We start from the raw sequence: 15,503 nt of genomic DNA on the forward strand, positions 1-15,503 counted from the left end.
TGAGGAATAAACAAGGTGAGCCCTACTATTGCCTCAGCTTGCTGTGCGGAGGCAGCCTGAAAGCACACCTCCAGGGGACCAAATTAATCCTTTGTACCGTAACTGCAAGCCACAACAAAGTCCCCCACTACATAAAAGAATACAGCAAAATCCAACACCCAACTACCAAAAATGCATGCTCTCCAGAATCTAATAAGAAATTATCAGGTCTGCAAAGAATTGTAAAATATAATCCATAAACAGGAAAAAGAAACCAACTGGTAGAGTTGAATTATGATAAAAAATAAAATGGAAAAAATGAAATAGAACGTATAAACCCCCATTTCTTTTAATTATTAGATTTAATGGACATTAAAAAATTACATTGCTGAAATCCCTATAAAATTTCTAATGACCTACTCCCAAGTTTTGTAATACTTACTGCTCTGTGAACTGGTAACAATTCACACACTGTCACCAGGTCTCTGGACCACACTGTGTGTCCCTGTTTAGGCCAACTTTTTTTTTTTTTTTTTGAGACAGAGTCTCGCTCTGTCGCCCAGGCTAGAGTGCAGTGGCGGGATCTCGGCTCACTGCAAGCTCCGCCTCCCGGGTTCACGCCATTCTCCTGCCTCAGCCTCCCAAGTAGCTGGGACTACAGGCGCCCGCCACTACGCCCGGCTAATTTTTTGTATTTTTAGTAGAGACGGGGTTTCACCGTTTTAGCCGGGATGGTCTCGATCTCCTGACCTCGTGATCCGCCCGCCTCGGCCTCCCAAAGTGCTGGGATTACAGGCGTGAGCCACCGCGCCCGGCCTAGGCCAACATTTTTTTACCCCTAGCAGATTGACTTGAATATGCAGTTAGGGCAAAAAAAAAAAAATCATGTTTGAATATGTTTATATAAGAGTGTCGTAACCTTAAGTGAATTACTCTTCCTCCAGGGAGTCCAGACTAAGAGGCTCCCATCTCAGTGGTTTTCCAGCACCATTCTAGATCCCAGGGGAACACATGAGGTAAAGGCTCGAGGTTGTAGAGTGAAGTATGTCAGAGAAATTTATGAGAGGCCTAATTAGCACAGTCATTGTAGATAAGTAGAAACACCAGTTTTAAGTTAAATGCTTCTGAGCCTAATTATTTCCTCTTTTAGCATGGACTTAGAGGAAACTGCACTAAATCATTCTGGAAATAGATCGCCAGTTCACAGGATGCTGAGAACTAATTATTGAATGCACTGAATCTTGTGCATGTTGTAGCTGCTAAGAGTGAAGACACAGGAGAGCAACCATAGGGCTCTTCACCAGCCACCTCCTCCTCTCAAGCAAATGTCTGTGGACACATTTTTCCAGTAGAGTATGGGTGTTTGATGTCCTATTAATTGACAGCAGTTTCCCCTTTCAGTCCTCAAGATCACTGCTTAGCCTGCCTAGGTTCAAAACTCTTGTTTGTGAGCTGGGAGGAAAAAGAGAAAAAAGATAAAATAAATGTGAATAAAATAGAAATAAGCAAATGTCATTGATTACATTTCATTTGTTACTTTCATTTTGGAACCCATTGCAACCCACCTATCATGTCTTTTGTTTCTCATCTATAAAAAAGATACAATGATAATAGTACCTACCACATGACGTATAATTGAATTCACATGTGGAAATATATTGGCACATGTAGAGTGTTCAATACATATTAACTCCCTATAACTAGAGCTATACATCCATATGTGTTTACTTCTTTCCTTCATTCTAATCCACTCAAGAACCATATAGTATCTGGGTGATCAATTTTAAAAAATTATGCAATTCATCTTTTTAAATTAAAAGCACTGGTATGATTTTATAAAATGTAGCACTGTTTAATTTAAGATAGGGAGTTTTCATTAGTTTCTGTGATAAAAGCACGTCTCACCAAGGGCAAGGAGTTGAGTCCTGAGGTGTGGGTGGTATGATCGATCTTTGAGGGCCAGCTGCCCGACATGTACTTCATCATCCTCGCAAAGGTTCATCATCTCCTTTTGTTTTTCTATAGAATCATTAGTATCCATGTCCTGTGCCTGGGTCATTTTGGTTTATTGGTAAGAAAAGCAATCAGATGGCAGAGCACTCAGTGATGCCTGCCCTGACTAGGTGTTGCCACATGAACCTTGCAAAGCCCAGAAGAGTGAGAAAGGTGATGCATTTATAGGCTAGGTCTAAAGCTAAGGATGGTAAATCACCTTTTTATTTATAAATTCCAAGATCATATCCCTTTATCCTGCTATGTAAAATAAAATCTCTTGGTAATTGGTTTAAGGTCCTAGATGATGCTCTGCCAAGACACAAAGAGGATCTCAGGACGTAGGTGTTCATATCTGAAACTCTTTGTGAGCATGTGGCCTGGTCACAGACAACTATAGAAAGTCTGGGGCTGGGTACAGTGGCTCATACCTTGAATGCTAGCACTTTGAGAGGCTGAGGTAGGATGATCGCTTGAGGCCAATAGTCCAAGACCAGGCGAGGCAACATGGACTCCATCTCTACAAAAGTGAAAAAGGAAATAAATTAGCCAGGGTGGTTGTACATGTCTATAGTCCCCTGATATAGTTTGGCTGTGTCCCCACCCAAATCTCATCTTGAATTCCCATGTGTTGTGGGAGGAACCCGGTGGGAGGTAACTGAAACATGGGGGCAAGTCTTTCCCATGCTGTTCTCATGATAGTGAATAAGTCTCACAAGATCTGATGGCTTTAAAATGAGGAGTTCCCCTGCATAAATTCTCTCTCTTTGCCTGCTGCCATCCATGTAAGATGTGACTTGCTCCTCCTTGCCTTCCGCCATGATTGTGAGGCTTCCCCAGCCATGTGGAACTGTAAGTCCAATTAAACTCTTTCTTTTGTAAATTTCTCAGTCTCGGATGTGTCTTTATCAGCACCATGAAAATGGATTAATACATCCCTAGTTGCTTGGGAAGCTGAGAAAGGAAGATTGCTTGAGCCCAGGAGGTTGAGGCTGCAGTGAGCTGTGAGCATACCACTACATTCCAGCCTGGGTAACAGAGTGAGACCATGTCTCTTAAAAATATTAAAAATGCATACATACATAAGTAAAATCTGAAGATAGCACCTTTTCTTCTAATAGTGGGTTGCTGAGTTTCTTTATAGATTTCAGTGACTGCTCCCTATATGAATGTGGAAACTTCTCATAAGATGGCAAGTGTGTTCCTAGGGATGAATAATTACTTTGGTAGCAGTAAATAAAATTATTTTGAAATGGATCGAAGGTCTCGTCTATAGAGAAAGAACTCTTTTAGTTATCCTTATGCTTGGCTACATTGGTTTTCTGAAATGAGAATGTAATATTCCCGAGAGATTGAGTGTTCATACTGAATTATTTTCATCTAAAAATAATCATTTACAGAGGTAGAGGTGAGCTTTTGTGCTAAACTAGAAGTGGCAAAAACTTAGGTAATAAGGAATTTATTTTTTATTTTTCTGCTTTCTAACTTTCCTCCTTGACATTCTCTAAATTACTACTTTTGACCACTTTTTAAAAAATTTACATGTCCTCTCATGACACAGTCTGCCAATCTCTTGGCTGTGTGACAGAGACAGCCAATTCTCTCTCTACAGCTTTAAGACTTCTTGTTATATGTAATAATAAATCTCTATCATCTAAGCCATCTTGATTCGGTGTTCTGTTCCTTGCATCTGAAAGCACCTTGATTCTTTTTCCTCTAAACGATAATGGGAGAATGAACCATTCTAAAGCGAAGTCATAATCATGTTACTCCCATGCACAGAAATCTTAGTAGTTCCCTACTCCCAACCAAAAAACAAAACCCCACATTTATAATGTAGTATTTAAGGCTTTCCTAAATTTTGTCCCAATCTACCTTTCCAAGCTTATTTCCCATATGCTTAGTTTACCTGGTCCCTTCCATGGGTTACAACACTTTAAGAGCTGCAGTGAGGGAGAGAGGAGAGGGATGCAGTTGGGCCTGACCCTGGACCAAAGCATCCCTTGCCCCTCCTCTCCTCTTCTAGTTTCCACCCTGCCTCCAAAAAATGAATGTGGAACTAGCTGGTATCTGTTTGATTTTGACCTAAAAATCATTTCTGTTTGAGAGGCAGAAATCATTGTTAGTAAATTCTTCTGTGTCTCAATGCAGAAAAAAAGAACAAATTTGAGTGTCCTGAAAGATGAAGGTTGCCTTTGAGAACACGGTTCCTAGATTCCTCAGCTCCAGGATAAGCACTACCATGGGGTAGCCCTGGTCATATCATGTGTGCTAGAGAGGAGAGATTTTTCTTTGGCAGCAGGAGGTATATCCAGAGAATGCTGAAGCTCCTAGACTAAATTCTGCAGCAGAGATCAACAAAGAAGAACAAGGCATACTGTTGACCAGTGTAAAGGCATGCAGCCAGCAAGCACTGAACCACTGCCACCGCCTCAGCTGCTCAGTCTGAGAACAACCCTGAAAGCCTGCCCCTGTGTGTGATGCAAGCTCAGGAGCTCTGTCAGTGTATTCCAGTCACATTAAAGTGAAGGGCTCTCCATCAAGAAAGACAGTGAAAGCCCTAAATCAAAGTCAAAGGGGATGGGTTCTGCCCTTACAGCAATGTTCCTATCAGGAAAGCCTCACCTGGTTTCCAAATTTTCCAGTCAGGCTGAACATGGGAGCTTGTCAATCAGTCCTAGACACCTCTGGGACAGTGACACCGAGAGTAGAAGCCACACCCCTAAAGCACTCCTTAACCCAGGTGGGAGCATGGGTCTGAAGACAGAGACTGGAAATGATGCCAAGGGAGGCATTCCCATCTACTCCTTTGATCTAAGAGGTCCTGAGACTAAAGAATGTAATTCTGCTGACCACATAAAGTTCCAGGATTCCCAGCACACAACACACTTGATGATACCCTCAAATTCTGTGGCCCACAGCTCTTCCATACCTTCCCATAGCCAGACTATTGCTCAGAGTCCACACCTTCTTGGAAGACATCAGCCCAAGTGGTGCATGTGCGTTCAAGCTGCAGAAGCTGTATTGAAAGGTCAGGTTGAAACTGACGCCTCTTTCCAAATCCAGAAAATTCCTAGCAGCAAGATAGAGAGAAGCAAAACCCTGAACACACAGATATCTGCCTTTGGAATGATCCAAAACTTTTCCCACAACAGCCCCCAGCTCCAGCCAACCAGGGCCATATGTGCCTTTCTAGACTTTCAGGAATGTTAGGCTCTGAAATGTAAGGGCAAAATGTCTCCAACCCTGCACCCAGTCCAAGTCTTTCTGGAGTCAGTTGGCCAGACAATGTGCCAAAAATTCCAGATGATGGAAACTTCTCTCTTGGCAAAGAGGTCTTCGGTGTTCTTGGGGTACACTCCCCAAATCCCCAAAGATTGTTTTCAGAGATGTTTTAATAGCAGCTGGCAGAGAAACAGTGAGATCTTCCCCTTGGGATAGCACAGCTGACCTAAGGCCCAGCATAGAGATGACTAGGATGATCCCAGGCTCTCTGTGAATATTCCCATTTTCCCTTGACCAGTTGAGAGACCTCTCAGTCCTACCAGGGAAGACTTTTCCAAAGCACTGTCTCACAGATGGGCTCCAGTTGGGAATTTGAGTTTGGGATGGTTCTTCATGTCATGAAATAAAATGTCCATCTAAATATCAAACGTGGGATCTAACTCTCAGATGATACCTCAAAAGATGAGAGGCTGGGTGTGCCCTGGGGAGATGGTGAATTACAGTCAGGTAGCTCAGCTGTGCTGCCTGCTCAGCAGAAGACAGCACCCCTGCCATGTGGTGAGCACCCTCAGCAGGAAGATGACATGGGCTTCAGGTCATTCTTTCCCATATCTTAGGGTCCAAACTGCAACAGGGTTTGGCAGAATCTTAGTGAACCAATCAGACCCAACAGAAGGACTAACAGCCAGCTCAGTCATAGCCACCACTACCTTTCAACCCTTCCAGAAACCCCATTAGCCTCAACACAGCTTCTGCAGTTTGACATGGCCTGAGGCAGGGGCCCTTGAATAAATCTGGGGCATGCAGCCAGGTGTGTTCTCTTGATGTGAACTCTCTGAAATCTCCCACTCTACACAGTCCAGTCCAGTCCACAATATGGGACTTGCCCTCGGGAAACCTCAAGTTTCCCCAGGTTCCATCATACCTGGTGGGCCTAATGGCAAATCCTGATGCTGTTGCTTCCATTAAACTGCACCATCTTGAAGTGAGCAGGTTTGGGAAAGGATAGGCTCTGGAGGCAAGTTGTACTAGACAGAAGACTTCTGCAGATTATTTGATGATTGATATTTTTTTGAATATGCATTTTGATATGTTGAGTGTCCAACTTTGCAATGTCCAGTTCTATCAGATTATATCATGATACCATCAAGCTAGTGGTTAACTCAAATGAAAACGCTCCTCCAACTCCCTCACCCAACTTATCATTAATTAAAAACATGCCAGGAATTGGCATTAATAATACATAAAATCTGCAAATTTTAGATCCAGACTCTATGATTCCAATGACAACCCTCCAGCTCAGTGGGAATAACCTAGCCACTTCTCACTCCAACTTGACACCCTTCCTGAATGCCACGGAACCCAGCATACTTCCCCATAGTGCTCCAATGGGGCCTGCTTTGATGTCACACAATCCTATGATAAGTCACGAGTCCTAGGAGCCTTGGCTGGTATCACAATCCTATGATGGGTCATGAGTCCCAGGAGCCTTGGTTGGCATCTCAAGGACAGAAGAATTTCTCTAGGTGTTTGTAAGCCAGGAGGCCCAGAGTGTCTGACTCCTTTGCTATGCTGGGGAATAGCATGACTTCAGGGTTTGTGGACCCAGATCTGCAGCAATCCATATGTGAGTTTGATCTGTCTTCCGTGATTCCATCACAGATGTCCAACCAGACAGTGAACTATTTCCCTCAAGGGAAAATCTCAGGCCATAAACAATGCCAGGGTTTTTGCAGATGGAGGAGGTGACAGGCAGATAAGTTCCACGGTGGCACTGGCATTGCTTGGTCTAGGGTCAGCACAAGCTCTGAGCATCCTTTGGGTACAAGTGTATCCTTTCCAGACTTTGTCAATGACATTGCTGGCCTTTCTCAAGCAATAACACCAAAAAAAGAAAAATAAATGCAAAAAAAAAAAAAAAAAAAAAAGGAACTAAGTTTAGCATAGATAGGGATGGAAAAGAAATCTTTCGTTTTAAAAAATAGTGAAGTGTAGGACATTGTTTTTGTGTTCAAATGCTCTTCGGCACTGTCTCTCCATGTGTATACAAATTCACCTTCGTGTTTCTCGTGTTGTCTCTCATCCTTCCCCATCTCTGTTAAGTGTGCTTCACAGACATCGTGCCCGCCTTGCTTCCCTCCTCTGTTTTTCCCTTGGGCGCCGATCTACAAGGTGTTCCTCTGGGTGATTAATGGAGACAGGCCTCCACTTCCATGCTGAGCATCTTCGTGGTTTTGAGGGAGAGAGAGAGGTCAGCCACTGGGCTGCTCTATGGCTTTTCTTTCCCTGCTTTGTCTTCTCCTTCACTAATATGCCCTTCCCAGCACCCCGCCCCACCCCCCTCCTTGTTTCCTGTCTTCCTTTTACTCAGAATTCCCAGGTGAATTGTATTAATGTGGGAGTGGAACAGATGCTAAAAGTTACCCAGGACTTTTGTTTTTGTTTTCTTGTCTTTTTTTTTTTTTTAAATGTTGTGGTTATTTCCCTTTCTTCCTCCTCCCACACATGCAATGTTAGAGCAACTGCCATTCCATTTGGTACAGAACCACTCCCTGGGGCTGTGATGTCAGAAAAATAGAATATATTATTTATTACAAAATTAAAAACCGGAAAGCTCACTTTAAGGCTGAATCAAAAAATCACTTCCATGAGACACTTCCTGGTCTCCCAGGAAGAACAAATGTCATTTTCTTCGGAACTTGCTGCTGAGATCTAACACTTTCTTCTCTCATGTTCTTATAATACATATATATATATTTTTAATTTCAGCTTTCCTATAAACTGAAACTACATGAGGGTTGGGCCTGAGCCTGATTCAATTTCAGATGTTCCACAGTGCTTTGCCTACAGACATTGTGCACAAAAATTTTCTCTAACCACTTTAAATTATAGCTAAACATGGGGAATGGTGAAAAGGAGCAATTAAAGCAAGCCACAAGTTGGGACATGAAACTCAATTTATGAAATTAGAAAAAAAAATAGACATGAGGAGGACAGAACTTGAGCTATAAATAGATTCAGGGAGACTAAGCAACAGATGGCAGAGGGGTTTGTATGAGATCACAAGTTGCTGAGGGTGAACAGCCAGAGCCCTCCGTAAAGAGAGGGAAGTTTATAAAATTGGCTTCTTAGCACAGTGAGGCAATGTCAGGATTTGCTGTGGCTTGCACTGGCTCAGAAAGCCCCCATATCAGCTGAAGTGAAAAGTCATGCTGATGACCGCCCTGCACTGCTGGCTGTGCCTTTAAGGCTGCAGAAATGGAATTTTCATAAAATTCAGTGTTCCTCAGGAAAAGCTGGAGGTTAAACTGTTATCAGATTCAGTGCCATTGTAAAATGGGTCCTTTGTGGCATCCCCAAATTAGTTTCTCACTCAGAGCACCTTATTTCACCCAGTCCCAGGTCAGTTATAATAAATGAGGGCTTAGAAGTACAGAGTGCAAACGGAGAAGAGAAACAGGCATCTGTGTCTACTCCAGAAACAATTCTGTGTACACGACTAAATCTTAATTTTTTGCAACCATCCTTTTTAAAAGTGATTATTTTCTACATTTTATTTTTATTTACATTAAGAATGAAATCTGCTAACAAAATAATGTCTTTTGAAGCAACATGAATGAAGCCAGAGACCATTATTCTAAGTGAAATATCTCGGGAATCAAAACCAAATACTGCATATTCTCACTCATAAGTGGAAGCTAAGCTGTGGGTATGCAAAAGCATACAGAGTGGTATAATGAACATCAGAGACTCAGAAGGGGTGAGGGATGAAAAACTACTTATTGGGTACAACGCACAGTATTTGGGGTGACAGGTGCACTAAAATCCCAGACTTCACCACTATACGATTCATTCATGTAACTAAAATCCACTTGTACCCCTAAAGCTATTGAAATTAAAAACATTTTTAAAAAAGAATAAATATTCTCAGACTTAAACGGTGAAAGAAAACAAGTGTTGGTGAGGATGTGGAGAAAGAGAACCTTTCTAGACTGTTGGTCAGAATGTAAATTGATACAGCCATCTTAGAAAACAATATGAAGGTTTCTCAAAAAACTGACAATAGAATTATTGTATGATCCAGCAATCCCACTTCTAGACATATATGCAGAAGAAATGAAATTAATATGTCAAAGGGATACCTGCATTCTCATGTTTATTGCAGCACTATTCACAATAGCCAAGGTATTGAAACAACTGACATGCCCATCAAGATGAATGGATAAAGAAAATGTGGTGTGAATATACAATGGAATACTACTCAGTCTTTAAAAAGAAGGAAATCCTGTCACTTGTGACAATACAGATGAATCTAGAGGATACTATGCTAAGTGAAATAAGCCAGGCACAGAAAAGCAAATATCACATGAATTCACTTGTATTAGGAATCTATAAAAGTCAAACTCAGCCAGGTGTGGTGGCTCACGCCTGTAATCCCAGCACTTTGGGAGGCCGAGGTGGGTGGATCACTTGAGGTCAGGAGTTTGAGACCAGCCTGGCCAGCATGGTGAAACCCCATCTCTACTAAAAATGCAAAAATCAGCTGGGCGTGGTGGCAGGCACCTATAATCCCAGCTACTCGGAAGGCTGAGGCAGGAGAATCACTTGAACCCGGGAGGCGGAGGTTGCAGTGAGCCAAGATCACACCACTGCACTCCAGCCTGGGCAACAGTGCGAGACTCAGCCTCAAAAAAAAAAAAAAAAAAAAAAAAAAGTCGAACTCATAGAAGTGGGGAGTAGAATTGTGATTACTGGAAGATGGGGGTTAGAGGATGGACAGGAAAGGAGATATGATTGTCAAAGGGTACAAAGTTCAGTTAGAAAGAATAAATTCTAGTGATCTATTGCACAGTATGCTGACCTTAGTTAATAATAATGTATAGTTCAAAATTGCTAAAAGAGTAGATTTTAAATGTTCTCACCACAAAGTAATAAGTATGTGAGGTAATGGTGATGCTATTTAGCCTAATTTAATCATTACACAATGTATACATGTATCATAATATCACATTGTTTCCCATAAATATATACAGCTGTCATTTGTTAATTAAAGATTAAATTTTAAAAAGTTTCTGTAAATCTTGCTTAAGTACCACAATAATAACCCTCTGAAAGTAGCCTCAGACAAATAAATGTGCAATAAATAGGTATTCTTAAGATGAGTAATGTCATATCCAGGAGTCTTAACTTCTAAACTTAATGCTGATGAGAAATTCCTACAGCATTGCTACTGTGGGGACCAAAAGCAAGCCATGGACAGTTCACCAGGAATTTTATCACTCTCCTGAGCTTAACACTCTCTATTTACTCACAAGCATAATCTGCTTTAAATCCAACTGAGGAAAATTTAGACTTGCCAAATTAAAAAGCCAGCAGAGTGATTATCTCCTAAAGAAAAGGATCATTTGCTGTATCAATACTTTAAATAACAAGGTGCCTTAGTACATTTTAAAGTTGGAAAATATTTATTTCACAGCACCTCTGGATTCCTGAAAATGTGATGTGCCTATATTTTTTTCTTCAGTGCTCTAGCGCAGACCCAGACAATTTCTGAAGCCAGTTAGAAATAAGATGGACAACTAACAGTCTGTGTGATGTAATCTGTGGCTCGTGAGTCCAGAATTAGAGGCCAAAGAAGAAAATAACTGAATCCTTTTTCTAGCACTGATTTGCTGTGAATTGATTTTAAACCGCAAAAATGAATCGTTTTATTTTGCTAACAGGGAAATCATATTACATAGCCTACTCCATGTAAAGTAGTTTCGGTTTCTGCAAAGGAAAAAGAACATGATCGGATTTAGCAAAATGGTGTATTACATAGGGCGAAAATCAGATCATCACAGAATATTAGAGCTTAAATGGTCCTTAGCATTCTCAGTCTAAATCCTTTATATTGTAGATGCTAAAACTATGGTGGGCACTTGAGTGGTGTCTGTCCAGCATTTCTTCTCTTCCCCAGTCAACCTTAAGAGACAAGTCCATTTCCAGGAAAAAAATGACAAAGGGTGATGGTATTACCGGCATTACTAGTGCCAGGCCTTCTAAAGGGACTCCTCTGAAGCTTCTCACTGTATGTCACACTAGATATTAATACATGCAAATTTTTTATATATGGTGGGTGCCAGGAAAAAAATGGTTATCATGTGAATTTAAAGAATGCTCCACGTTTATTATTTTCATCAAATAAAGTAAATTTTTTTTTCTTTTTTGGTTTGTTCTGACTTGTTTTGCTTTGGCCTGGGGTGGGGCAGAACAGAGAAAGGCACTACAAATTATGAAGCATAATCCTGCACTGACAGGCGTACAAATTTAAACACAGCTTTGAGTTTGAATTCATCTATATAATGTCTAAACCATGCAGTTCTTCTTTTGTTCTGTAGATCAACTTAAGAAATAAAAGACAAGGCAGTTTCTGGTTAACGTGTATCCTCCTATTCTGTCCTATACCCTGATCTACGAGGATTTTGAATGAGCTGCAGTGGTATATTATGGCAATGTGTTCTGTCTTGAAAATAAATAAGATATTTCAGTTAAAAATAGATACAGAGATTAGAAGTAGATAAATCTCATTATGTTTGGAATTTGGATTGACTTCATATGAGCATTCTAGGAGTTCTGAAGCTTAATGACAAATTACAGAAATATTTGGGGATTAAAGGACTCATCAAATCCAGGAAAAACATATGGCCTTTAAGGACTTAAAAAACTTACACACACACACACACACACACACACACACGTATATATATATGTGTGTGTGTGTATATATATGTGTATATATATATGTTATATGAATTACTATTTTTAACTTAGGAGAGAAGAATGAGTGACTGAGGCTGTAAGTTTTCCATGTTCATATGTTTTCCACTTCTATGGGAGAAGAGGATGCTATTCTGACCCATGTGGTCTGGAGCAGGCAGATCAAATGTAAGAGCACAGAATAGTTTCTCAATGGCCATACTAAGAACTGGGCTTTCCTGTGGGTACAAAAGAGATAGCCTGGTCTGAGTTCAAATTCTGTTTCATTTTACTTGGTATGTGGCCGACTTGTGCTATTCTTTCTCACAGAGCCTTCATTCCTTCAACTTAAAGGAAGAGAGTAACAGGTGAAGATAGAGTCGCTAGTACAGAGAAAACTTTAAAAACCATGTCTAATTTAAAAAAGCAATTTAAAAACCCTAAAAATGAAAGTAGAAATTTACCTTCATGTTGACATTGTGAAAGGCTTTGTATGTTTCTGAGGAGTCCTGCCTTTTTTGTACTGCTTATGCAAATGGAGTCCTGCTTATGCAAATGGGCCCATTTATTCAGCCCTGGGGCAGTAGTTATTTATGTGCTGTAACACGAGAAGAGGCAGTGGCCCTTAAAAGAGAGAATCATGGGCTTATGGTAAGAACTAGACTTGAGCTCTGACTCCTCCAGGACCTCTGACTTTGGAAAAATCATTAAACTTCCCTGAGTTACGGTTTCTCATCTGTAAAATGATATGATGGAATGAAGTCTGAGTCCTCCCAAAATTCTTATATTGAAGCCTTAACCACAGTGTGATTGTATTTGGGTGTAGAGCCTTTAGGAGGTAATTAGGGTTAGATGAAGTCACAAGGGTGGGCCCCTTACAATGAGATTAGTGCCCTTATAAGAAGAGGTAGACCAGAGCTATCCCTCTTTCTACCATGTGAGGATTCAGCAAGAAGGCAGTCATCTGCAAGTCAGGATGAGGGTCTTCACCAGGAACTGAATTGGCTGCCACGTTGTTCTTGAACTTCCCATCCTCCACAAATGTGAGAAATAAATGTCTGTTGGTTAAACCACCCAGTCTATGCTATTCTGTTATAGCAGCCTAACCTAAGACAGATAGGAATAAGAATACCAATCTATTGTGTAGAGTTGTTAGGCCACAAATGAGACACTTGTATATGAAATCTATGTAAATTTTCAATCAATTTTAAGTACTATGTTAGAACCTAGAGAGATTTGAAAGTGAATCAGACATAGACCTTGCCCTCAGAAAGTTCAATTTCCCAGGTGATGTAAGACTCATATAACCAACAAAAATACAAAGTATAAAGGGCCATATTCATTAATTCTTTGTTCATTCATTTATTTAACAAATATGCTTTGAGCATTTAACTATGTGCCAGGTGTTATTCTAGATGTTCGGGAGACTGCAGTAAACAAAAGAAATTCTGTGTTCTTAGAGAATTTGTATCTGAGTTTGGGAAGCAGTCAATATATAAAATGTTAAATATGTCTGGTGGTGGGAAGTGCTTTGAAGAAAAATAAAGTAAGACAATAGATAAGAGTAATAAGGGGCACATGGCCATTTTGTACAAAGTGATAAGAAAAGCTCTAGTCAGGTCTGTCTGATAAGGGACATTTGAGCATATGTGTCCATGAAGGGAGCAATGATCCAAGAGGTTTTTGGGAAAAAAATGTACCAGGCAGAGGGAGCAGCAAGTGCAAATACCCTGAGGCCGCCGGTTATTTATTTATATTTATTTATTTTGTAAGACAGAGTCTCACTCCGTCGCCCAGGTTGGAGTGCAGTGTCGCGATCTCGGCTCACTGCAACCTCCGCCTCCCAAGTTCAAGTGATTCTTGTGCCCCAGCCTCCCAAGTAGCTAGAATTACAGGCGTGCAACACCATGCCTGGCTAAGTTTTGTATTTTTAGTAGAGATGAGGTTTTGCCATGTTCACCAGGCTGTTCTCAAACTCCTGAGATCAAGTGATCCACCTGCCTCGGCCTGCCAAAGTGCTGGGGTTACAGGAGTGAGCCACTGCGCCCAGCCAGGAGTCTTAATCACACAAAAGATTCTTCAAAGTGGTTCTGGGAATTCAGAGTTGAGATTATTTCCAGCTAAGGGTGATAATGACACAAGACCCTAGAGAAGGGGCTTGTAAAAAGACACCACAAATTTTCATAATATTTCATAGTTTTTACTTGTCTTTTGCTTAGATCATATTTCATAAATTCCTAACAATAAGTACAGGTTTTTAATTCTTATTCTCCCCTCAAAGAAAAGCCATAAACATCACTTTTCATTTTCCTATAAACATAATGAATGAACATTGCTATTAGTCATCCTTTCCCATTTCAGATTATTAATATTATCATCATTTTCAGACACAAGGTAGATTGTAGTTAAGAACCTGTGCTTTGAAGTCAAGCAGACAGTAGCTGATGTCCCAATTCAACTTCGTACTAGATTTCTCACCTTGGGAATATTGCTTAGGCTTTAGAATCATAGTTTCAGTCACCTCTTTTTACCTATGGCTCCTCATGGATGTGATACTAAAAAATTGCTCAGTGTTGCTATCCTTTTCCACCCTCTCTTTATTGAAGTATTCATAAACATCAAACTAGAAAGCAAGAAGCCCAAAATCTAAAAGTCACACTATGCAAATTTTATACAAAATAAATGAAAGTGAAAGTATGAAGAGAAGTAACAAGAACAAATGTATATACATCTTTACTGAATAAAAAGGGCTTTCATAGATACTCACCTATTAACTCTTTGATAAACTTGTAGCCTGAATATTATTCATCTTCAGTCGACTGATAAAAAATACAACTCAGACAGATTGAGTTATTTTGGCTAAGATCTCTCAGCTCGTAAGTGGCAAGGCTGCAATTTGTATTGCTCTTCTGAGTCCAATTCCTTGGGGTTAGTTATTGGTACAACTAGTGCCCAAGAAGTCCTCGCAAGACTGGAAGAACTTCCAAGTGATTAACCAAGTTGGTTGCATTATGGGCGGCCTCCCTCCTACTTGTGGAATTTGTTTTCTCACTGAGGATTGTTTTAAAAGTTACCTAAGCTGCTTCACAAAGCTTCAAAAATTCCTGGTTATGTGATAGATAATGATGTGTACAAGGCTTCCTTCTGGATGATTCTACAGGGTCTAGAATATAAATAGTTTCTCTCTATGGTGAGCAAGATCTCTGTGCTCTAAGGCTCATTTGATCACTCATCTGGGAGCTCTGCAAGAACTGGGACCATGTCTTACTCATCTCTGTATCCCAAGGCCAGCCGAAAGCCTGGCACGTGGGAAGCACTCAGGTGGGGTTTGAGCACCAGGATGCCAGGCATTATGATGGTGATGCCTGTTAAAAATCATCGGTTAAGCTCCACTTTTGCTGCAGTGAACAGACTAGACATCAGCTGTCATGAGAAAACATATTACCAGGCAACTTTTCCTTTTTTCATCCTGAATCCAAGCAACTGGCCAGGACAGTGAGATGACAGCCCTGCAACTTCCACATCTCACATCACTTCTCTCTTCTCCTACTTCCTTTTCAGAGAGCTTT

The 15,503-nt window shown here is 40.7% G+C and overlaps 1 long non-coding RNA gene and 1 pseudogene across 1 annotated transcript; one reads left to right on the forward strand and one right to left on the reverse strand.

Moving 5' to 3' along the window:
• Positions 1–361: 361 nt before the first annotated feature.
• On the reverse strand, positions 362–14,885 carry LINC02242 (long intergenic non-protein coding RNA 2242). Its single transcript, NR_147169.1, has 3 exons — positions 14,702–14,885; positions 2,403–2,491; positions 362–729 (listed from the first exon to the last, which is right to left on the reverse strand). It is a non-coding gene; the product is annotated as a long intergenic non-protein coding RNA 2242 (long non-coding RNA).
• On the forward strand, positions 5,049–6,750 carry BCL9P1 (BCL9 pseudogene 1; annotated as a pseudogene).
• Positions 14,886–15,503: the final 618 nt, after the last annotated feature.

Source organism: Homo sapiens, chromosome 5, assembly GCF_000001405.40.
Source record: "Homo sapiens chromosome 5, GRCh38.p14 Primary Assembly".
NCBI classification, from domain to species: domain Eukaryota; kingdom Metazoa; phylum Chordata; class Mammalia; order Primates; family Hominidae; genus Homo; species Homo sapiens.